General features: G+C 51.2%; 1 protein-coding gene and 1 long non-coding RNA gene across 16 annotated transcripts in view, besides 5 other annotated features; one reads left to right on the top strand and one right to left on the bottom strand.

The window, feature by feature from the left end:
- The window catches only part of LOC105373605 (uncharacterized), a 28,682-nt gene extending 16,211 nt beyond the window's left edge, over positions 1-12,471 (bottom strand). The window contains exons 1-2 of one of the 2 annotated variants that reach the window (XR_923311.4): positions 11,801-12,471; positions 3,180-3,353 (exon numbers count right to left, since the gene is read on the bottom strand). This is a non-coding gene — a long non-coding RNA (uncharacterized LOC105373605). Of the gene's footprint in view, positions 1-3,179; positions 3,354-3,599; positions 3,874-11,800 lie in introns of those variants that run through there. The other variant, XR_923310.3, reaches the window with a different exon arrangement.
- Positions 12,229-12,523: a silencer, noted in NCBI's record as "tiled region #2128; HepG2 Repressive DNase matched - State 4:PromP". NCBI's record gives its function as "represses a minimal TATA promoter and a strong SV40 promoter by Sharpr-MPRA in HepG2 cells {active_cell/tissue: HepG2}" and the evidence as "EXISTENCE:reporter gene assay evidence [ECO:0000049][PMID:27701403]".
- Positions 12,229-12,614: a biological region, named in NCBI's record as "Sharpr-MPRA regulatory region 2128".
- Positions 12,335-12,394: a silencer, noted in NCBI's record as "silent region_11930". NCBI's record gives its function as "represses an Ori minimal core promoter by ATAC-STARR-seq in GM12878 lymphoblastoid cells {active_cell/tissue: GM12878}" and the evidence as "EXISTENCE:reporter gene assay evidence [ECO:0000049][PMID:35858748]".
- Positions 12,405-12,614: a silencer, noted in NCBI's record as "silent region_11929". NCBI's record gives its function as "represses an Ori minimal core promoter by ATAC-STARR-seq in GM12878 lymphoblastoid cells {active_cell/tissue: GM12878}" and the evidence as "EXISTENCE:reporter gene assay evidence [ECO:0000049][PMID:35858748]".
- BIN1 (bridging integrator 1) overlaps positions 12,462-20,159 on the top strand; it is a 59,132-nt gene continuing 51,434 nt past the window's right edge. For all 14 annotated transcript variants that reach the window (NM_139351.3, NM_139350.3, NM_139349.3 and 11 more), the window contains exon 1: positions 12,462-12,756. In NM_139351.3, coding sequence (NP_647601.1) covers positions 12,673-12,756 — 84 coding nt within the window. In that variant the 5' untranslated portion in view covers positions 12,462-12,672. The remainder of the gene's footprint in view (positions 12,757-20,159) is intronic.
- Positions 15,334-15,886: an enhancer, noted in NCBI's record as "H3K4me1 hESC enhancer chr2:127861306-127861858 (GRCh37/hg19 assembly coordinates)". NCBI's record gives its function as "activates a minimal SCP1, AML or CMV promoter by ChIP-STARR-seq in naive H9 embryonic stem cells {active_cell/tissue: H9 hESC(naive)}" and the evidence as "EXISTENCE:reporter gene assay evidence [ECO:0000049][PMID:30033119]".

The raw sequence follows: 20,159 nt of genomic DNA, 5'->3' as shown, positions 1-20,159 counted from the left end.
TCTGCCCGGGCGCCCCTACTGGGAAGTGAGGAGCCCCTCTGCCCGGCCAGCCGCCCCGTCCGGGAGGGAGGTGGGGGGGGGTCAGCCCCCCCGCCCGGCCAGCCGCCCCGTCCGGGAGGTGAGGGGCGCCTCTGCCCGGCCGCCCCTACTGGGAAGTGAGGAGCCCCTCTGCCCGGCCACCACCCCGTCTGGGAGGTGTGCCCAACAGCTCATTGAGAACGGGCCAGGATGACAATGGCGGCTTTGTGGAATAGAAAGGCGGGAAAGGTGGGGAAAAGATTGAGAAATCGGATGGTTGCTGTGTCTGTGTAGAAAGTAGAAGACATGGGAGACTTTTCATTTTGTTCTGCACTAAGAAAAATTCCTCTGCCTTGGGATCCTGTTGATCTGTGACCTTACCCCCAACCCTGTGCTCTCTGAAACATGTGCTGTGTCCACTCAGGGTTAAATGGATTAAGGGTGGTGCAAGATGTGCTTTGTTAAACAGATGCTTGAAGGCAGCATGCTCGTTAAGAGTCATCACCAATCCCTAATCTCAAGTAATCAGGGACACAAACACTGCGGAAGGCCGCAGGGTCCTCTGCCTAGGAAAACCAGAGACCTTTGTTCACTTGTTTATCTGCTGACCTTCCCTCCACTATTGTCCCATGACCCTGCCAAATCCCCCTCTGTGAGAAACACCCAAGAATTATCAATAAAAAAATAAATTAAAAAAAAAAAAAAAAAAAAAAAAGAAGGACTTGAAAGACAAGAGTCGAGGAAGTCAAGTGTTTCTTGCACAGACAGGATTGTGAGTGGAGATGCATATATTTTCAGGCATTTTTTATTTAAGGCAGCATTGTTGTGTTGTGGGACAGAACCCATTGAATTGAGCATTGTCAGATGTTTACTTAGAATGAACAAAAACAATGATTATGTTCTGTGTCCTCTTCTGTAAAATCTAAAATGCGAGAAACATGATTTCACTGCAAGAGTGACGTGGACCACCTGCGCTCTGGTGAATGTTCATCTCTGTCTGTCCTGCCATGCTGCCACCCGAGGTCCTGCCAATCAGGCTCACTGGGCCCTGCACTTCCTCCCGTGCCCAGAACACAATAATGAGGTGGTGGGTAGATAGAAGCCAGCTTTGGAAGCAGTACAGGTCAGCAGGGAAAAAGTGAGTCAAACATGTCCAGTGACTTATAAAACCCTAAGATCACACCCATGCCAAATGTCAGTAACAGAGAGAGACGAGGTGACAGGGCAGGACATAAGCAAAAAGACAGATAAGTGGGTGACTTTGGAGGATGAGTCCCCAGCTCCAGGTGGGCCCCACCCTGCTGGTGCTGAGACCCTTCCCTGAGGTTGGGTGGACCACGTCTATACATTTGTTGGGTGCCTGATCTGCGGCCAGCTTCAGGGAGGGCACTGGGGGTCAGAGCTAAGCAGGCCCAGCCCTGCCCCCAGGAGCCACAGTTGGAGGCCGCGGTTCTGAGCATCACTTCTACTGAAAGACAGCCCACATTCTGTACAAGGAGTTGTCACTTCTCAATGTGGCCTCTGAGCAGGAGGATATTTCATAACCTCCTCCCCCAACTCCAATCCTCACCAGGCAAAGGGAATCCCAGTAGATGTACCCTCGTTCATGGCCAGAGTTAAGAATTGGGTCCCAGGGCACCTTTCCCCCACTATTGCAGAACGACTGTTTTGGAGGGGTGCTGGGTCTGTGAGAAAGGCAAGCGCAGGACCCCGGGGGAGGATAGACGAGGGCCATTTAGCCCCACCTGAGATGAGTCAAAGAGATCTCCCTGGAGGAGGTGACAACTGCGCGTGTCTGTAAAGGTGAGGCAGGTTGCCAAGTTGCCTGGTGAGGAAATCGGGGAGGAGAGTTGGGGAAGTCAGATATGTATGCCCATGTCTTTAGGAAGGATACATGCAAAGCCCCGTAGGGTGTTGGGGGGCTGTCTGGGCAAGGCTGAGGTGGCCATGTTGGCTCTGGAGTTGGGGAGCCCCTCTCCATCCAGGTATTTATTTGTGGTCACAGGGACTCTCATGGGATACAACAGCAGCTGGGCCCATGATCAGATTTCAGATATGTACAATGAACTGGGGTAGGAGATGGTGCAGGAGGAAAAAAGAAAAGCAGAAATTCATCATGACTGAAGGAGGACCCTGCTATAAGGGACAGTGGCTTTGGGGAGAGCTCCATTTGCTCCCACTCCCACCAGCGTTGGGTGTTGTCGCCTTTTAAATATAACCATTTTTGTGAGTGTATGGCGTTAACTCATTGTGGTTTCAATTTGTATTTCCCTAAAGACTCATGAAGACTCATTTTCTCCCATGCTTACTGCCATTTGTATATCTGCTGTAGTGAAGGGTCTTTTCAAATCATTTGCCTTAAAAAAAAAAGATTGCTTTCCTTATTGAGTTATGACAATTCTTAATTTGTTCTTGGATACAAGTCCTTCATTAGATATCTGTACCATGAAAAGTTTTATCTGAGTGGATTACCTCTTCATTTTCTTAGTGGTGTCTTTGGAAGAGCAGGCTTTAAAAATTTTGAAGTCTCGGCCGGGCGCGGTGGCTCACGCATGTAATCCCAGCACTTTGAGAGGGCGAGGCGGGCGGATCACGAGGTCAGGAGATCGAGACCATCCTGGCTAACACAGTGAAACCCCGTCTCTACTAAAAAACCCCATCTCTACTAAAAATACAAAAAATTAGCTGGGCGTGGTGGCGGGCGCCTGTAGTCCCAGCTACTCGGGAGGCTGAGGCAGGAAAATGGCGTGAACCTGGGAGGCGGAGCTTGCAGTGAGCCAAGATCGCGCCACTGCACTCCAGCCTGGGTGACAGAGCGAGACTCCGTCTCAAAAAAAAAAAAAAGAAAAAGAAAAAAAAATTTGAAGTCTCATTTATCAATTTTTAACGGTAGCTTAATATTCAAAATACAATTGACCTTTGGTCAGTGCGGCGATTGGGGGCACTGACCCCTCACACAGCCGAAAATCTGTGCATGACTTTTGGCCCCCACAAAACTTAACTATTAATAGCCTACTGTTCATCAGAAGCCTTGCTGATAACATAAACAGTTGATTAATACACATTCTGTATATGTATTATATACTGTATTCTTACACTAGAGTCAGCTAGAGGAAAGAGAATGTTATAAGAAAATTGTAAGGAACAGAACATATACTTACTATTCATTCAGTGGACATGGATCATCATAAAGGTCTTCACACTGAGTAGGCTGAGGAGGAAGAGGAAGAGGAAGAGGAGAGGTTTGTCTCGCTGTCTCAGGAGTGGTAGAGGCGGAAGGAAATTCACGTATATGTGGATCCATGCAGGTCAAACTCATGTTGTTCAAAGATCAACTGTATGGATAAACCAAATTTTAAAATAAGCAAATTTAACAATCCACGCCTGGACATTTAGATTGTGTCCAACTTTTCACTATTTCACTCATTGTGAGGACATGACTGCGCTAGTGACTATATTCTAAGGACAGAATCTCAGATGCATATGTTTGTCAGGTTTTGGTTAAACACCTGAAATTGCCCTCCTAAAGTGCACCTAGTAACTTGTAAATGAAGCCCAGTTTCAAGGAACCGGTCAGTCACCTTAGTAGCTTCATAGCTTGTGGGCGTGTTGATAAACAAACGAGACTTTAGAAATGCTTAAACACGGAGATGGGCCATCTTATCTCAGCACTCTGTTTAGAAAGCCATTTTTAAATAGATAATTAGGGTAAATTTCCAGTGAGTATTTCCAAAGTCTGGAATCTTCTACAGGAACTAAGCAGTGATTTATTAAAGAAGGAGTGCTGGGCAAAGGGCTGTTTGCTTTTCTGCACCTTTATTTGACCACCTGGAGAGCCAACAGAGGTCTGCCCCCTGTGTCTCACCAGCAATGCGGGCACATACTAGATTAACTAAGGGACTAACAGCCGCTATGTCATAATAGCAACTATGCTTTACCAAGCTCAATCAGCCCTACCAGGGACTGCCTGGTACCCCTAATCCTCATCGGCAGCCTTTCCTGGTGAGTATGAAGGCCCCACTTAAAGGAAGCAGGCAGTGACTGGCCCAGGGCCACAGTACTCATACCGATGGAGCCAGGGCCTTTGGCCTAAAGCCTGTGTGTCGTCGTCAGCATCTCAGTCTACTACTTTTTAGCCACAGCATAGACCACGCAGGGGTCAAGGTTTAAAGACATGCAGGACAAACACAAGCAAGCTGATTTTTTCCTTTTTTCTTTTTTTTTTTTCTGAGATGGAGTCTTGCTCTGTCTCCCAGGCTGGAATGTAGTGGTGCGATCTCAGCTCACTACAACCTCTGCCTTCGGGGTTTAAGCGATTCTCCTGCCTCAGCCACCCAAGTAGCTAGGATTACAGGTGCACACCACCACACCCAGCTAATTTTTGTATTTTTAGTAGAGACCAGGTTTCACCATGTTGGCCAGGCTGGTCTTGAACTCCTGATGTCAGGTGATCCACCCTCCTCAGCCTCCCAGAATGCTGGGGATTACAGGTGTAAGCCACCGTGCCTGGCTAAGCTGATCATCTTGAAAAAGGTTTTGCTTTTGGAGACTTCACTTGCTGGTGGCAAAAGGAAGTAACTCATTCCTGGAGGCCTTGCTAATATCCTGGAATTAGTTGGGGGATCCACTCACTGGCTCACTCCACAGGTCTCTCCTACACGGTCTGCTGAAATTGGATCTAAACATCTGGGCCCCTTAGAAGCCCAGGGACAGGGCCTTCCAGATGGTTCTGTGGGGAGTTGTCTTTTTGTCTCTGCAAGGATCGCCTCAAGGAAAGCTGGACAGGCTGGGGAGTCTGCACAAGCCTCAGTGTTTGGTGCCAACCCCAGCACAGTGTACAATGTCCTTAGCCTCTTTGCCAACCTTCATTCTGAACTCCTACCCCTTCAACCACCTACTCATACGTCCATTTGCCCAGGACAGTTCTGGCTTACACCTGCTACCTAGGTGTAATTATTTTTTTCCCCTTTCACTCAAAATTGTCCTAGTTTGGACACTCCATATTAATACTGATGGGTCAGGTGCAGGCACTCAGGAGAGACTAGCTTGATGATACCTATAGCATAACAAATGCATTAGAGTTGGCTCTCTGAAGGTCTTTATTAAGATAATGGTATATTGGCTGGGTGCGGCGGCTCACGCCTATAATCCCAGTACTCTGGGAGGCCAAGGCGAGCAGATCATCTGTGGTCGGGAGTTTGAGAACAACCTGGTCAACATGGTGAAACCCCATCTTTACTTAAAATACAAAAATTAGCCAGGCATGGCGGTGGGAGCCTGTAATCCCAGCTGCTTGGGAGGCTGAGGTGGGAGAATCAGTTGAACTTGGGAGGCAGAGGTTGCAGTGAGCTGGGTTAGCACCACTGCACTGCAGCCTGGGTGACAGAGTAAGACTCCATCTCAAAAAAACCAAACCAAACCAAACAACAACAACAAAAAGATAATGGTATATTAGTCATAACACTTCTTGCAAGTGGCCTCAAATTGGCTTTAGCAAGAAAAAAATGTATTGGTTCCTATGGCTGATAGTACGTGGTGGGAGTGGCCAGGATTTGGGCATCACTGGGACCAGGTTCTTAAGAAATGTCATTAATTCCATTTCTCTCTGTCCCTGTTTCTCCGTCTCTTCACTCGTCTTGACCTCAACTTCTAGGCAGGTCTTTCATGTAGTGGGCAAGCTGGCATCTGGTAGCTCTAGACTCACATCCTCCCAACTCTGCTAGTCTAGAAGAAAAGGGAACTTATGGGTCCTACAAGTATAGAGCATCCTAGGAAAGCTCTTCTTGGGCTTTTCCCAAGAGAGCCCAAACTTCATGTGCTCATCCTCAAGCCTGGGCTATGTGCACATCACAGTGTAAGAGACAGGGCTCATCAAAGCACACCCACCGAAGAAGGAGCTCCAAAGGAAAGCAGGACAATGGGCAGGGCACACCACAGTTATAGCATCTGCTACCCACTATAGATAGCCACCATCTACAGAGTCACTTCTGATATTCCAGGGGCTGTAAATATAGTGTTCACTATTTCCACAATAACCTAGAGGTTAATTTACCCCCACATTATAGATGAGGCTTGAACAGCTTGAATAACATATCCAAGGATGGAAAAGTGGTAAATGGAGTAGCTGATTACTTTTCTTTTCTTTTTTTCTTTTTTTTGCGAGACAGGGTCTGGCTCTGACACCCATGCTGGAGTGCAGTGGTGCAATCTTGGCTCACTGCAGCTTCTTGGGCTCAAGTAATCCTCACATCTCAGCCTCCCAAATAGCTGGGACTACAGGAGCACACCACCACGCTCAGCTAATTTTTTAAATTTTTTGGTAGAGACAGGATTTCACCATGTTGCCCAGACTGGTCTTGAACTCATGAGCTCAAGCAATCTGCCTGCCTCAGCCTCCCAAAATGCTGGGATTACAGGCATGAGCCACTGCACCGAGCCGAGGAGCTGATTTCTGAACCCAGGTCTATCTGCCCTTTCCAAAATATCATGGAACTTGAGAGTGGTGGCATTTTACATGTGAGAAAGATGGAGGACAATTTGAGTCAGGGAGCCCTTCCTGAATACCACATCACACTTAACGCTGCCCTGAAATAACTGGTGCTGCCTTAGAATCTTCTGCATCCTGAGCAAGACAGCCCCCTCCCTGTCTCTGTAAGAGGTGAAGTTGGCTGTCTCAGGAGGGAGGTACAAAGCTGGTCTGTTCCAGACACCACAGATGACCAAGTACTAACTGATCTCAGTACAGGACCCACCAGCTAAGTGCCTTCAGGTAAGCCTACTTTTTCCAAGTTTCCATCTATAAAAGGTGAGCAAAAGTTCTATCAAATGCAGGATTATTATGATAGCCAAAATAGTATAAACAAAAATTGCTTTGTAAGATAGAATGATGATGAGGATAGTAATATTGCTAGCTCGGAGCCTCTTAATCAATTCTTGAGTTGGAGAAGAAAATGGGGCAGGTGATCTTTTCTCTCCAAGGGATAGGAGGACTGTCCTTTGCTTGCCTCTGTTCTTCATGGTTTTAAAAAAATCATTTCCCAAATGATAATGAGATATCATTACATACCTATTAGAATGGCCAAAGTCCGGAACACCAAATGCTAGCAAGGATTTGGATGGAGCAACAGGTACTCTCATTCATTGCTGGTGAGAATGCAAAATGGTCCAGCCACTTTGAAAGAGAATTTGACAGTTCCTTACAGAACTAAACACACTGTTACCATACGATTCAGCCATCATGCTTCTTGATATTTACCCAAAGGAGTCAAACGCTTATGTCCACACAAAAACCTGCACATGGATGTTTATAGCAGCTTTATTCATAATGGCCTGAACTCAGAAGCAACCAAGATGTTCTGCAATAGGTGAGTGGGTAAATAAAGTGTGGTGCATCCAGAAAAGGGAACATTACTCAGTGCCAGAGGAAATGATCAAGCCATGAAGAGACATGGAGGAAACTTAGATGCATATTGCTAAGTGAAAGAAGCCAGTCTGAAAAGGCTACAAACTGTATGGTTCCAATAATACGGCATTTATTCTAGAAAAGGCTAAACTATGGAGACAGCAAAAAGATCAGTGGTTGCCAGGGGCTGGGGGGTGGAGGGAGGGATGAACAGGCAGAGCACAGAGGATTCTTAGGGCAGCGAAACTGTTCTATATGATACTCTAACAGTAGACACGTACCATTGTACACTTGCCCAGACCCATAGAACGTACAAGCCAAGAGTGAGTTCTCACATAAACTATGAACTATGGGGGATAATGATGCAACAACGGAGGTGCCTCAGTTGTAACAAATGTCCCACTGTGCTGGGGATGTTGATAGTGAGGGGGGTTGTGCATGTGTGGGGCAAAGGTTATGGGAAATCTCTGTACCTTCTGCTTACTTTTGCTCTGAACCTAAAAGTGTTCTAAAAGCCTGGCCAACACGGTGAAACCCCATCTCTACTAAAAATACAAAAATTAGCTGGGTGTGGTGTTGGGCGCCTGTAATCCCAGCTACTCGGGAGGCTGAGGCAGGAGAATCACTTGAACCCGAGAGGCAGAGGTTGCAGTGAGCTGAGATCGAGCCATTGCACTCCAGCCTGGGGTACAAGAGCGAGACTTCGTCTCAAAAAAAAAAAAATAAAAATAAAGTCTATTTAAAACAAACAAGCAAACAAACACAGAAACATGGCTTCTCCAGCCCTCACCGTTTGGATGCACGGCACACTCCCTCTGCCTGTGTGCTTTATCTTTCTATTCTGCCACACTGAGGTTTCCCAACTATTGCCCCAGGGGACATTGTCCTCATTTCAATTTGTATTTTTAATAGCACTTCTTTCTGATGACAAAAAGAGTACATGTACAAAGTTTGGAAAATAAAAAGAAAAAGAAGTAGGAGAAAAAAACCCCACCCCGAATTGCTCCACCTGGAGATATCAATCACGTTTTGGATCGCGGCTGGCACGATACTGTTTACATTAAACTGTATTATCCTGTTAACATCACATTTCCCTATCATGAGAAACTTCAAGAACATATTCTTTTGGTAAACATTTCATACATGGCCATACTATAGTTTAGTTAATCATTCGGCATTCAGGTGGTGATATTTAGATGTGTTCAGTTTTGCATTATTATAAATAATGTGATGAACATCTGTGTGGTGAAAGCTTTGCCAAATTTTTGAATTAAATCATAGACTTGGAATTATAGGGTGGAAGAATATGGATATTTTGGTTATTCTTATTCTATTACAAGATTGCTTTCTAGAAATTCTGTTATCTGTTTACACTCTCAGAAGTAGAATGTGAGTTTCTGTCTCTATGGTTTTATTAAGTAACATAATTTAAAAAATAATTTGTTGATTTGATGAAAATGAAAACAGAAATGGTATTTCATTGATTTAATGAACCTTTCTTTTTGTCTGGTAAGTCTGACTTTCGAAAACCTATTTATTAATTATTTGAATATCCAATTTTATAAATTGTCTACTATATATTGGGGTTTTAATGTTTTTCTTATGAATTTGTAAGAGTTCTATTTTATTGCCAAAAAAATTTTCCCTAGTTTCTTACAGTTTAATTTTTATGTCAAACTTATTTTCAAAATGGGAATAACTCTTTTCCTGGTAATTAAAATAACGGGCTGTCATGGTAAAAAAAAATAACATACTATAGAAAATTATACAGAAAAAAGTAAAAATCTACATTCTACCCCTTGAACTTGTACTAACATTTTTAGATCATTTCCTCCCAAACTTTTATCCTATGTTTTTATGGTATTTTCTGAAGTTTAAGAATTCTAATTTTTATGTACCTCAAAGCAAGCATTTTAAAATTTCAATATATTCTCCAGTGCTTTTGTGTTTAGAAATATCTTTTTAATCTAGCGATCTGATAAAAAATCACCTCTAAAAAAACAGAGCTGTGATTCTTTTTTTTTTTGAGATGGAGTTTTGCTCTCGTTGCCTAGGCTGGAGTGCAATGGTGCGATCTCGGCTCACCGCAACCTCTGCCTCCTAGGTTCAAGTGATTCTCCTGCCTCAGTCTTCCGAGTAGCTGGGCTTACAGGCATGCACCACAACGCCCGGCTAATTTTGTATTTTTAGTAGAGACAGGGTTTCTCCATGTTGGTTAGGCTGGTCTCGAACTCCCAACCTCAAGTGATCCGCCTGCCTTGGCCTCCCAAAGTGCTGGGATTATAGGCAAGGCATTATGTCATATTATAGAATATTAAGGAAATTAAGGGGGAAAGAAGTCAGCCTTAATGCCTGGACCCTAACACATCTGCTTCCTTTATGCATTGTTCTTTCAAGACATTGATCATGAGCTTTTAATTTATTTTAATTTATTTTTATATGGTTGCAAGTACAATTTCCTATCTTTTCCTTTCCTTCATAATTATGCCCTAAGCATTATTTTCTTGTTGCTACGTAGTCTCGGTAATGGTTGTTTTAAATGATTCCCAATGGCCCCTCCTGTGGCTGTGCTGTCACAGCTGACCCCATCCCTCTAATGAACACTTCCGTTGCTTCCAATTTTTCTGTCAAGCGATATTTAGAAACACCAGAGTCCAGTGAAGCAGAATCTCCCACTGTTCCCTGGGGGCTGACTGTAATGCAATTTGACTTTGCTCATTTCCTCCTTTCCTCAGAGGAGTGTTGGAAGAAATCACTTTTAGAGAATGGTTAGAAAAACGACCAACAGAAAATGAGGAGGAAGGAGATCATGAGCTGAAAGCATGTTGAGCTTTTAGGAGGAAGCTGCTTTAGAAGCCCAGACTGTGTAGGTTTTGCTTTTGTGACTCACAAATCGGGCATGAGTTTATAATAATTTTGACAGATGCTTTTCACTCATGCAGCGCTTGGTGCTTTTGAGGGCATTGGTGCAGGAAGGCTTGATGCAGAATCTCTGCTTATCATTTGCTGTCTGTGTGACCTACATCAGCGGCGCCTCAGTCTGTCTTCCTGCAGAATAAGAATACAGTCAGCCCTCTGCATCTGTGGGTTGGGCATCCATGGATCCAACCAACTGTGGACTGAAAATATTTGGAAAAATACAATAAAAAGTAAGACTACAACAATAAAATAATATAAATAAAAAACAAGGCCGGGCACGGTGGCTCACACCTATAATCCCAGCACTTTGGGAGGCCAAGGCGGGAGGATCACGAGGTCAGGAGATGGAGACCATCTTGGCCAACATGGTGAAACTCCGTCTCTACTAAAAATACAAAAATTAGCTGGGCATGGTGGCACGTGCCTGTAGTCCCAGCTGCTCGGGGGGCTGAGGCAGGAGAATCACTTGAACCCGGGAGGCAGAGGTTGCAGTGAGCCCAGATTGCGCCACTGCACCCCAGACTGGCGACAGAGTGAGACTCTGTCTAAAAATAAATAAATAAATAAATAAAAAATACAGCGTTAACAACTATTTACATAGTATTTAAATTGTATTAGCTATTACAAGAATCTAGAGATAATTTAAAGTATTTTGGAGGATTTGTGTACGCTATATGCAGATACTGTGTCAATTCATATGAGGGACTTGAGCATCCCTGGATTTTGGTATCCACGGATGTGCTGGAACCAGTCCCCTGGGGGATACCGAGGGACATCATGATAATAGGCCCGGAAGAGGACAGACGAACACACTGGGCCATGGGGCAGCACTGAGCGGTGGTGGAAGAACCCCGAGTAGCCGGAGAAAGAGCAGGAGGGCCTTCCAGGGAAGAGGGAATGGCCTGTGTGAACCCAGGCTGAACCTCTCATTCCTGGGACTCGATTTCTCCATTTGTACAAACTGCTTGGTTTGTGGTCTGCAAGAGCCCTTCCTGTTCCTCCAGGAAGCCTCTCAGGGACCTCTGTCCCTGGCCAGCTCTGCTCCTCTGACCGCTGCGGGTCCTGCAGGCCATAGCCCTGGCTCCTGTGTGTGCACCAGACACGTCTAGGCCTCTTCAGCGGGACCTATCTCTCTGCTCAACTCAATCAACAGTTCTTTAGAAATTTCCAGGGGCAGCAAAGTGCTGTAGCCCCTGACATGTTTTAGGGCTGAATGGGGGTGGGTATCAGCAGACTCAATACGTATTTATTAACTTAAAAGAAGTGTCATTGGTCTATTGGCAAAGCTGGTTAGCAATAACCTTATCTTCTCCAGGAATAATGATCACTAATCATTCCTTCCTGCTGGGGGTAGGAGACAACCCGGCGTATGGTGGTGGAGCACCTGGGAGACAGAGGCAGAGATCTCGTTCCTCGATCCCGGCGCGTTGGTTGTAAAGTAGGAACAGTAATAGCACCTACCTCTAGGGCCACGGAGACCGAATGAAATAATGCCTGTCAAGTCACTTAGTACACAGTAAGCACTCAGTAATGCTAGGTTGTTGTTATTATAATAAATTTTTAGCGAACGGGAAGACCAAGCACCGGTTGGTACTGGGCTAGGCGCCGTAGGCAAAGATGTGGAGATGTCCCGGAGGCGCCTAGGGTATCCGGGCGAAAACCCGAGGGCCGAAGGCTGGGAGGAGGCGGAGCGTCGGGCACCGGGCACCGGGCACCGGGCGGGAGGTGAGCCCCTGGAAAAGGAGGGGGCTCCGGGCGCGTTCTCCCAGCAGCCGCGGCTCCTCTGTTCAGGGCCGCGCCCCCTTCGCCGCACTTTCTCTTTGATTTCGAAAGCACTCCTCTCCTCCACCTAGTCTCCTTTCCTGGGTTGCAGGAGATTACTGCTTGCGGGGAAGACCAAGACGCCAGGCCGGCGGATTAGTCCCCGCCCCGGGGCGGTGCAGCTGGAGCGTCAGGGGAGTCCCGCTCGCCGCAGCCCCAGCGCCGCGCGCGCCCCTCCCTCCTCGCGGACCTGGCGGTGCCGGCGCCCGGAGTGGCCCTTTAAAAGGCAGCTTATTGTCCGGAGGGGGCGGGCGGGGGGCGCCGACCGCGGCCTGAGGCCCGGCCCCTCCCCTCTCCCTCCCTCTGTCCCCGCGTCGCTCGCTGGCTAGCTCGCTGGCTCGCTCGCCCGTCCGGCGCACGCTCCGCCTCCGTCAGTTGGCTCCGCTGTCGGGTGCGCGGCGTGGAGCGGCAGCCGGTCTGGACGCGCGGCCGGGGCTGGGGGCTGGGAGCGCGGCGCGCAAGATCTCCCCGCGCGAGAGCGGCCCCTGCCACCGGGCGAGGCCTGCGCCGCGATGGCAGAGATGGGCAGTAAAGGGGTGACGGCGGGAAAGATCGCCAGCAACGTGCAGAAGAAGCTCACCCGCGCGCAGGAGAAGGTGAGCGAGCCGGAGCCCCAGCAGCCGCGGAGTCCCAGCCGCCGCGGAGCCCCGGCCACCTGTCCCCCTATCCTCCGACCCCGGGGCCTGGTCCTTCGCCAGGATCTGGTGCTGTCACCTCTAGAGGAGCGCTTTCGAGGGGCTTCGAGGTCCCCAGGCTGCGTTCCCCGGCGCTCTGGGTGCCCTCTTAGGTTTGCGTCCTCTGTCTCCCCACACCCGGCCGGGGCAGGACAGGGCCCCGCTTTGCACCTTCGTGGCTCGGCTGCACAGCAGTGGCCGGCCCTGCTCCAGGCTCTTCTCAGGCGCGCGCTCCAGGCTACCCCGCTTTGGAGGCCAAGGGCCGGGAGGCTGGGAGGCCAGGTGGTGACCCTCAGCTCTCCAGGCCCATGCAGGCAACCTAGGCTGGGCCGGCGCTCGGGGCGAGAGGGAGTATGTCCCTCTGCCCCTGGGGACACTATTCCCCCGGACTCCCAAGGCTGCTTCTCGAACCGGCACCCACAGTTCCTTCCTTCCCACTGCTTCTCCACTTTCGTTCTCCGTGGGCCGAAGGAGGGATTGGGTTTCCTTTCCCGAGAGGTGCCTGCGGCCTGGAAGCTCCCGCCCAGCCCGGCCCCACCGGGAGCCCAGGGCTACGCACCCCGCAAGGAGGTGCCCTCGCCCCAGCAGGGGCTTAGCGTTTCCGGCGGCCGGGGAGCGGGTGGCGGCACTGGCTTTGGGAGCCCACGGCCGGGTGGGGAGCTGGCCTGGAGGAGGCGCGTGGAAGGCGCCACAGGAAACCCGACCCCTCCTCGCGGAGAGCTGGAATGGGGGATGGAGCCGGGGCCTCCCAGGGTGCCCAGAGCGTGCAGGAAATGCAGAGATTGAGGGGCGGGGGTCTGCACCCGGTCAGTTGTCTATCCCAAGCCACCTCTGGTTTATTGAATTGGATCACGCCAGCTGCTGACGCCACTTCCCCTGACGACTCCAACTCTGAAATCTGAGATTGCAGAATCTGTGTTTCTGCCAGGGTGGCCCCCCAGTGCCCCGCGGCCAGGCCTGCCCCCTCTCCCACCCGCTGCGCGGCCGCCGGGTGGAGGCGCAGGGACAGGCCGGCCTTCCCCTGCCAGGCCTGGTGGCTGTTTATAAACAATGACTTTTGCTTCTGAGACCCGCGGGCTCCCTAAGGATGCAACCACGTGATTGCTGGGGGATGGGGGAGAGGGGGGCGCCTAGAGCTTCCCCATACCTCCCTCAGAGTCCTACTGCTCATCCCTGTGTTTCCTGGCTAAGGAGGTGGGTGGGTGTGCATTGAAGGAAGGGCCCTCAGCCAAGTCCAGGTTTGCCCAGACCCAGCTCCCCAACCCCCCACCCCAGGGAAGGAGGAGGAGGAGGAGGAGGAGGAGGAGGAGGAGGGATTAAAGCCCCAGGAATAGCTGGCTGGGGGCTGGGAAGACTTCAGGTTGTGGGGTGGGGGGGTGGCAGCACAGATGCAGCCACCCCTGCTCCGGGCTGCCATGACTGGGTAATCCATCTGTGTGCCTGGAGCAGGCAGCCCTGGGCCAGAGCCTGCTTCCTTCCCTAAAGGGCCAGGGAGATGAATGGGAAGGGAGGTTAGCTGAGCTGTGTTCCCTGCCCCCTTCCCACTGGTGTCCCACCCCTTCCTGGCTCCCCAAGGCTCTTGGTGTGTCTCCTTTGCCCTGGTTGTCTTTTCTCTGCAGCAGCATCTTTGATGTCATTCTCGGGGCAGTAGGCAAGGGCTGTGTCCCCTCCAAGGAGGTGGTGATGTATCACTGAGCTCCTGAGACACCATCCCTCTCTCTTGAGCCCCTGTTCTGTGGCCACGGGCAGTTGGCTGACAGTTGGTCAGCTAGGCATGCTGGTCTTGGCCAACAGCTGACCTTGCCCATGCCGGGCTTCCTGGGACTGGAGTTGTTTAGTGTTCCAGCTGCTCTCTGCCTGCCGGAGACTAGTTAGGGACCCTCCCCCCATCAGAAACCAAGGCAGCATGACCATCATGACAGGCATCCAGGCCAGGTCTCTGAAAGTAGCCTTCCCCTCCCTTTGGGTTGCAGGCCCTGCTCGCAGGAAGCCCCATGCCTCAACCCACAGCAGCCTCTGCTGTGTGCCTTCCTGTAGAGTCTGTGCCATCATTGGAGGGTCATCCTCAGTGTCTTCTGTTGGTGATCAGTGCCGCCTCTAACTCCCACTGTCAATGAAACTGGAATCCTAGTCTCTTACAGGCAGCCCCACCACTATACCTACCTTGCCTTGGTGAAATCAGTGGGTAATAGGGCAATTCCAGTTTCCCTGTGGCTACAGGAAGGCGTTTCCTGAGCAAGGATGGCAGGAGCTGTGCTGGGAGGCTGGGAGAGTCCTGGCGTCCTGGCGTAGGAAGAAGGGCCCGTATCTTGCATCCACCCTTCACCCCCGGCCTTCCCACATCCACTTCCAGCCCAAACAAACATCCAGACTGTGAGGGTGACAGTGTGGTCAAGGGCAGCCTGCACTCTTGTAGGGTCCCCAAGCCAGCTCTTTTTTGACTGTTGTTACCTGTTGACCCTTCTGCCTCCACCACTGGTCTGGCTGATCCCTGAGGGCACGGCAGGGCACATCCAGGTGTGTGCATTGAGGATGTTACCTGGCCCCAGTCGGTGCTTAGTGAATGTTTTTGAACAAGGGATTTGGGCCTGACGCAGGCTGATGGTGGATTGATTTGTGTTGTTTGTTCTCTGCCATCACTCATTCATCAAATCCTGCCTGGACACAGGCCCAGTGCCTCCTGGGCTGAGTCCCCGATGCTGTCTCAGGCAGGGTGCATGTGTCTGGCCTGTCTGGAGCTTTTTCTTGAAGGTCCCATGGCCTGTGGCCTTGGTGTGAGGAGGGTATGAGAATAAATTGGAAGGGTTGCCAGGGCCTCCAGCATGGCACCATTGCTCCTGGCCCCCTGGCCACTGCCCCCGGAATGCGTGGGGTGCACTGTGTGTGCTGGGAGCTTGAGCCTGTGGGCGCCGTGAGGTCATCTTCCCATTGCGTTTGGCTTGTCGAACCCTCTATAAATGATTGTGTCCATTTTTGGGCCTCAGAAGAGTGGCTAGGCAAAGCCAGTGTAGGGTGGAGCCTGGGTCAGATGACGGGGAGGATTAGAGGTTGGCAGGCTGGGCCCCTCGCGGGATGGGGCGCCTGGGGAGAAGGACAGCTGAGGGGGTGGGGATCTGGCCTGCTGGCCCCTGAAGGCCCACGGCTTGGGAGTCCTCATGGAGCCGGCCTGACGGAGCTGGGCCTTTCTCTGACCACGCTGGGCTGACAGTGAGCACAGGAGGAAGGCTCTGGCAGGGTGGGAGTGTGCATGCTGTCCCTCCCTCCCGGCAGGTCCTGAGCATGCTGGAGGGGTGCAGGCTGGATAGTGGGGAGGGCCAGCTGGGCAGAGGGAGGGCCCAGGGTTGTCAGTGCCCAGCACAGCGCTGACATGCCGAGAAGAGGCTCGCTAAAGGAAGGTGCAGTGGTGGCGATTCCTAGAGCCTTGATGCATGGCCATGAATTGCACTATGCTCAGCTGCGTGGTCAAGGTCTCCTCACGCAGTAGCCACCTTAGCCTCCTCCGGAGGAGCCAGGCCTGTACACCAAGCGTTATATTTGCAGCAACCTCAGAAGCAGCAATGCTACACCTGAGAGTGGGTGCATGGTCCCTGTAATAGAAAGGACAATGGGGGCATAGGCAGGCCCAGCCACCTGCCCAAGTCACCCAGGCCCTCAGTGATGGCACTGGGAGCCCACCCAGAGGCCCTGGTCTCCTCACCTTGGCCACTGACTTTGCAGGGGTCCCGCCCCCTTCCCAGGCCCTAGCACAAAGATGCCCCCCTCTACCCACATTCCCATCTCTGTCCATCTTGGGGCCCATCTCTGTCCTTCTGTCCTTGAATGTCTGAGGTTCTTCCCTGCCGGCTACTGTCTTGTCTTTTTCTCTGTCTCTGTCTGTACCTCCCTGCTCTGGGCCTCTTCCCTCTGAACCTGTTCAGGCTCTTCCTGTATCTCTCCAGTCTCAGCTTCCCCTGGACCCGAGTTACTTATGTAGATGGTTCATCTCACCCTGCAGGGAAGGCTTCTGAGCTGGGCATCTTCTGTGGGTGGGCCCAGGTGTGTGTGGGTTCTTGGGTGTTCGGTAAAGGCGTGTGGGCATGGGAGGTTGGAAGCATGGCTTCCAGACTTCCCCAATCCCCCAGGGGCCCTGGATGGCCTGAGTACAGCCTTCTGGCTCATGCAGGGACCAAGCCAGGCACAGGCTACTTGTCCAGGCACAGCCTACTTGGGAGGCTGCATGGGGCATGGGGAAGGAGAAGGCATTCCAGGAGGTGCAGGCATGGTCCAAGGTGTGGAGAGAGGTGTGAGGACATTGAGGATGCCAGCTCTCTGAAGAGAAGGGGTGCCTGGGTGGTAGATTCCCTCCATATTTCATGAAGTTGTGAAGGCCAGGAAGATCTATGGATCGCAAGGATTCTTGGAGAAGCTGAGGCTTGAACTCTCTGCGCCCTCTTCAAGATCACCACATCGGGGCTCCCTTCTCACTGGCATCTGACCAGGTCCTTGTCCCTGGACTCAGCGTCCAGCCCAGCTGGTCCCTTACAAGCTGTGTGACTGTCCCTGAGGTTCTAGAATCCCTGAGTCCTACCCTTGGAGGTAGGCCCTCTGTCCTCATATCTCTGTAAGGAACAGCATGCACAGGCGTGCACAGGCTCTGGGTTTCCCTGACATGCTGCGGACCCTTCCTGAGCCCTGTTTCTTCATGTATCAAATAGGGAATAAGAACAGTTCCTCTTCACACATGTGTTGTGGGAAGTAAAGCCCCAGGCAGGTGCTTGGGGCATAGCAAGTGCTCATTGAATGCCAGCTCTGTGGCAGAGCGGCACCTTGAGCCCACATGTGGCACCTTCTTCCTGCATGGCCCCGCTTCCTAGCCCCTGTCCCCAGAGTGTCCATTACAGGCCTCTATAGACAGCTAATCCCTCCTGAGCCTGGGGTTGATCAGGCTTATGACGTTCACAGACCCGGGGCAGTGAGTGTATGTGCATGCATGTGTGTGGGTGCAGTGTACAGGGGTGGAGGGTTTGGGCTTGGGAATCAGAGAGCTTTAGAGTGAATCTTGACTACTCCCACCATAAACTATAAGTTTTTTTCTGTCTCTGGGCTTAACTTTTCACCACTGGCATATGATGAAGTTTGTGTGTTCATTCCTTTATTCATGCAACAAATATTGAGCACCACCATATACTGGGCACTGTTCTAGGGAGTGGGGACCCAGGAGTCAGCAGAACCAAGCCCCTGCTCTCCTGGAGCTGACATTCTCACCAGGGGAGATGGTGAAGAAACCACCAAGTATAGTGGCAGGTGCTTAGAGGGGTGGTGAGGCAGGGACTCACCTGCCCTCAGGACTTTCTGCATGTGTCCCGTGCGGGAGGAGTGTGCTAGGTTGAGGATTGAGATGTGGACGTGACTGTGGGAGCTCACACAGCAAGTGGATTGGGTGGAGAGAGTCAGGTGGGCAGCTCCCGTCCCAGGTGAGGGGCACCCACGGGAGGATGGCTTCCTTTTGGATGCCACCCTGGTTTGTTGTGTTTTCCTAAAGCTGCCTGTTTGGCAAGCCTCCTTTTAGGATTAAGAGTGCAGATGTGCAGCCTCGCTGGGTGTTTGTGCAGGGCAGGTGGGCAGGGGTACCTGTCCAGGATGGAGGATGGGGGAGGCAGGAGGGGCTGCTAAAGGAGAGGAGGAGGGTGTCAAAGATGGCCTCTGCTGCCCAGGGCCACTTGTAAGATTCTCATGCCAGGCAGCAACTCTGGGTGCGGTAGAAAGCTCTAGACAGCTGAGTTTGAGTCTATCCCCACCCCCCGCACATTCCTACCCTTGGGCAAGTCTCACTGAATTCTTGGAATCCCGGTTTCCTCATCTGAAACAGGGGTCATGATCTCTGCCGCTGGGGCTGTGGTGAAGACGAAATCGAAATGTGCTGGAGAGGCTGCCCACTCAGGTGGGGCTCCAGGTTCTGCTCCTGCGGAGACCACTGGAGGGACTCAGCCTACTGCTGTTCTTGTGCTGTGGAAGAGGCCCAGCACCCGGGCTTCTGAGAGGCTGCCACCTCCTAAAGAGGCCGCAGGGTTGTGGACCTGCCAAGGGCTGACAGGGGTCAGGGCTGGGGAGCCGAGGAGAGAAAGGCAGGCTCTTCCTGCTACAGGGAAGCCCTTGTCAAATATTAACTTAAACATAATGGCATTGTTTCCTGCATACTGGCTGCATGCCATCATCACTGTGGACAGGTGAGAGTATTATACGTCCCATCCACAAAGGAAGAAACTGAAGCTGGAGTGGTTGTGTGACTCCCCAGTGGGCCGTCTGGGCTTCTACCTCCCTTGTGGTCAGTAGGATCAGTAGTGGGGTCTGGCCTGGGGCAAGGCCTTGGAGACAAGCAAATGAGATGGAGGCGTCCAGCGGACTCCCTGCATAAAGCCCTGATGGTGAAGGAGTGTCATTGTGACAGACTTTGGTCCCCAAGACCCTCCCAAGACTTGGGGCCCCTGTCGGACCCCCAGCTCCACCTGGGGTCTAGGCTTGCACTTTGGAGTGTGTGGTAGACTCTGGGGTGATGGGAACACCTGGGGTTTCTAGGTGCAAGTCCAGAGATGGGGGTTCATGCACGCAAATGAGGACAGACAGGACCCTGTGCTGTGTGTTTTTTCCCAAATAGTAAAAGTTGTCTCCAGTTTATTCCAGTCTAAAAGAACACTCTTGGCCGGGTGCGGTGGCTCATGCCTGTAATCCCCAGCACTTTGGGAGGCCGAGACGGGTGGATCCCCTGAAGTCAGCAGTTCTAGACCACAGCTGGCCAACATGGTGAAACCCCGTCTCTACTAAAAATACAAAAATTAGCCTGGCGTGGTGGCGGCGCTTGTAATCCCAGCTACTCGGGAGGCTGAGGCAGTAGAATCGCTTGAACCTGCAAGGCGGAGGTTGCAGTGAGCTGAGATCACACCACTGCACTCCGGCCTGGGCGACAGAGCGAGACTCCGTCTCAAAAAAAAAAGGCCAGGCGCAGTGGCTCACGCCTGTAACCCCAGCACTTTGGGAGGCCGAGGCGGGCGGATCACGAGGTCAAGAGATCGAGACCATCCTGGCCAACATGGTGAACCCCCGTCTCTACTAAAAATACAAAAATTAGCTGGGTGTAGTGGCATGCGCCTGTAATCCCAGCTACTTGGGAGGCTGAGGCAGGAGAATCGCTTGAACCCGGGAGGCGGCGGTTGCAGTGAGCCCAGATCGTGTCACTGCACTCCAGCCTGGTGACAGAGTGAGACTCTGTCTCAACAAATAAATAAATAAGTAAATAAAAATAAAGTTTACGTCCCTCTAATTTTGTTTCTGTTACTGCTACAGTATTT

The sequence above is a fragment of the Homo sapiens genome, chromosome 2, assembly GCF_000001405.40.
Source record: "Homo sapiens chromosome 2, GRCh38.p14 Primary Assembly".
NCBI classification, from domain to species: Eukaryota; Metazoa; Chordata; class Mammalia; order Primates; family Hominidae; genus Homo; species Homo sapiens.
Note: the sequence above shows the minus strand (reverse complement) of the source record. Positions and strands in the feature narration are given on the sequence as shown.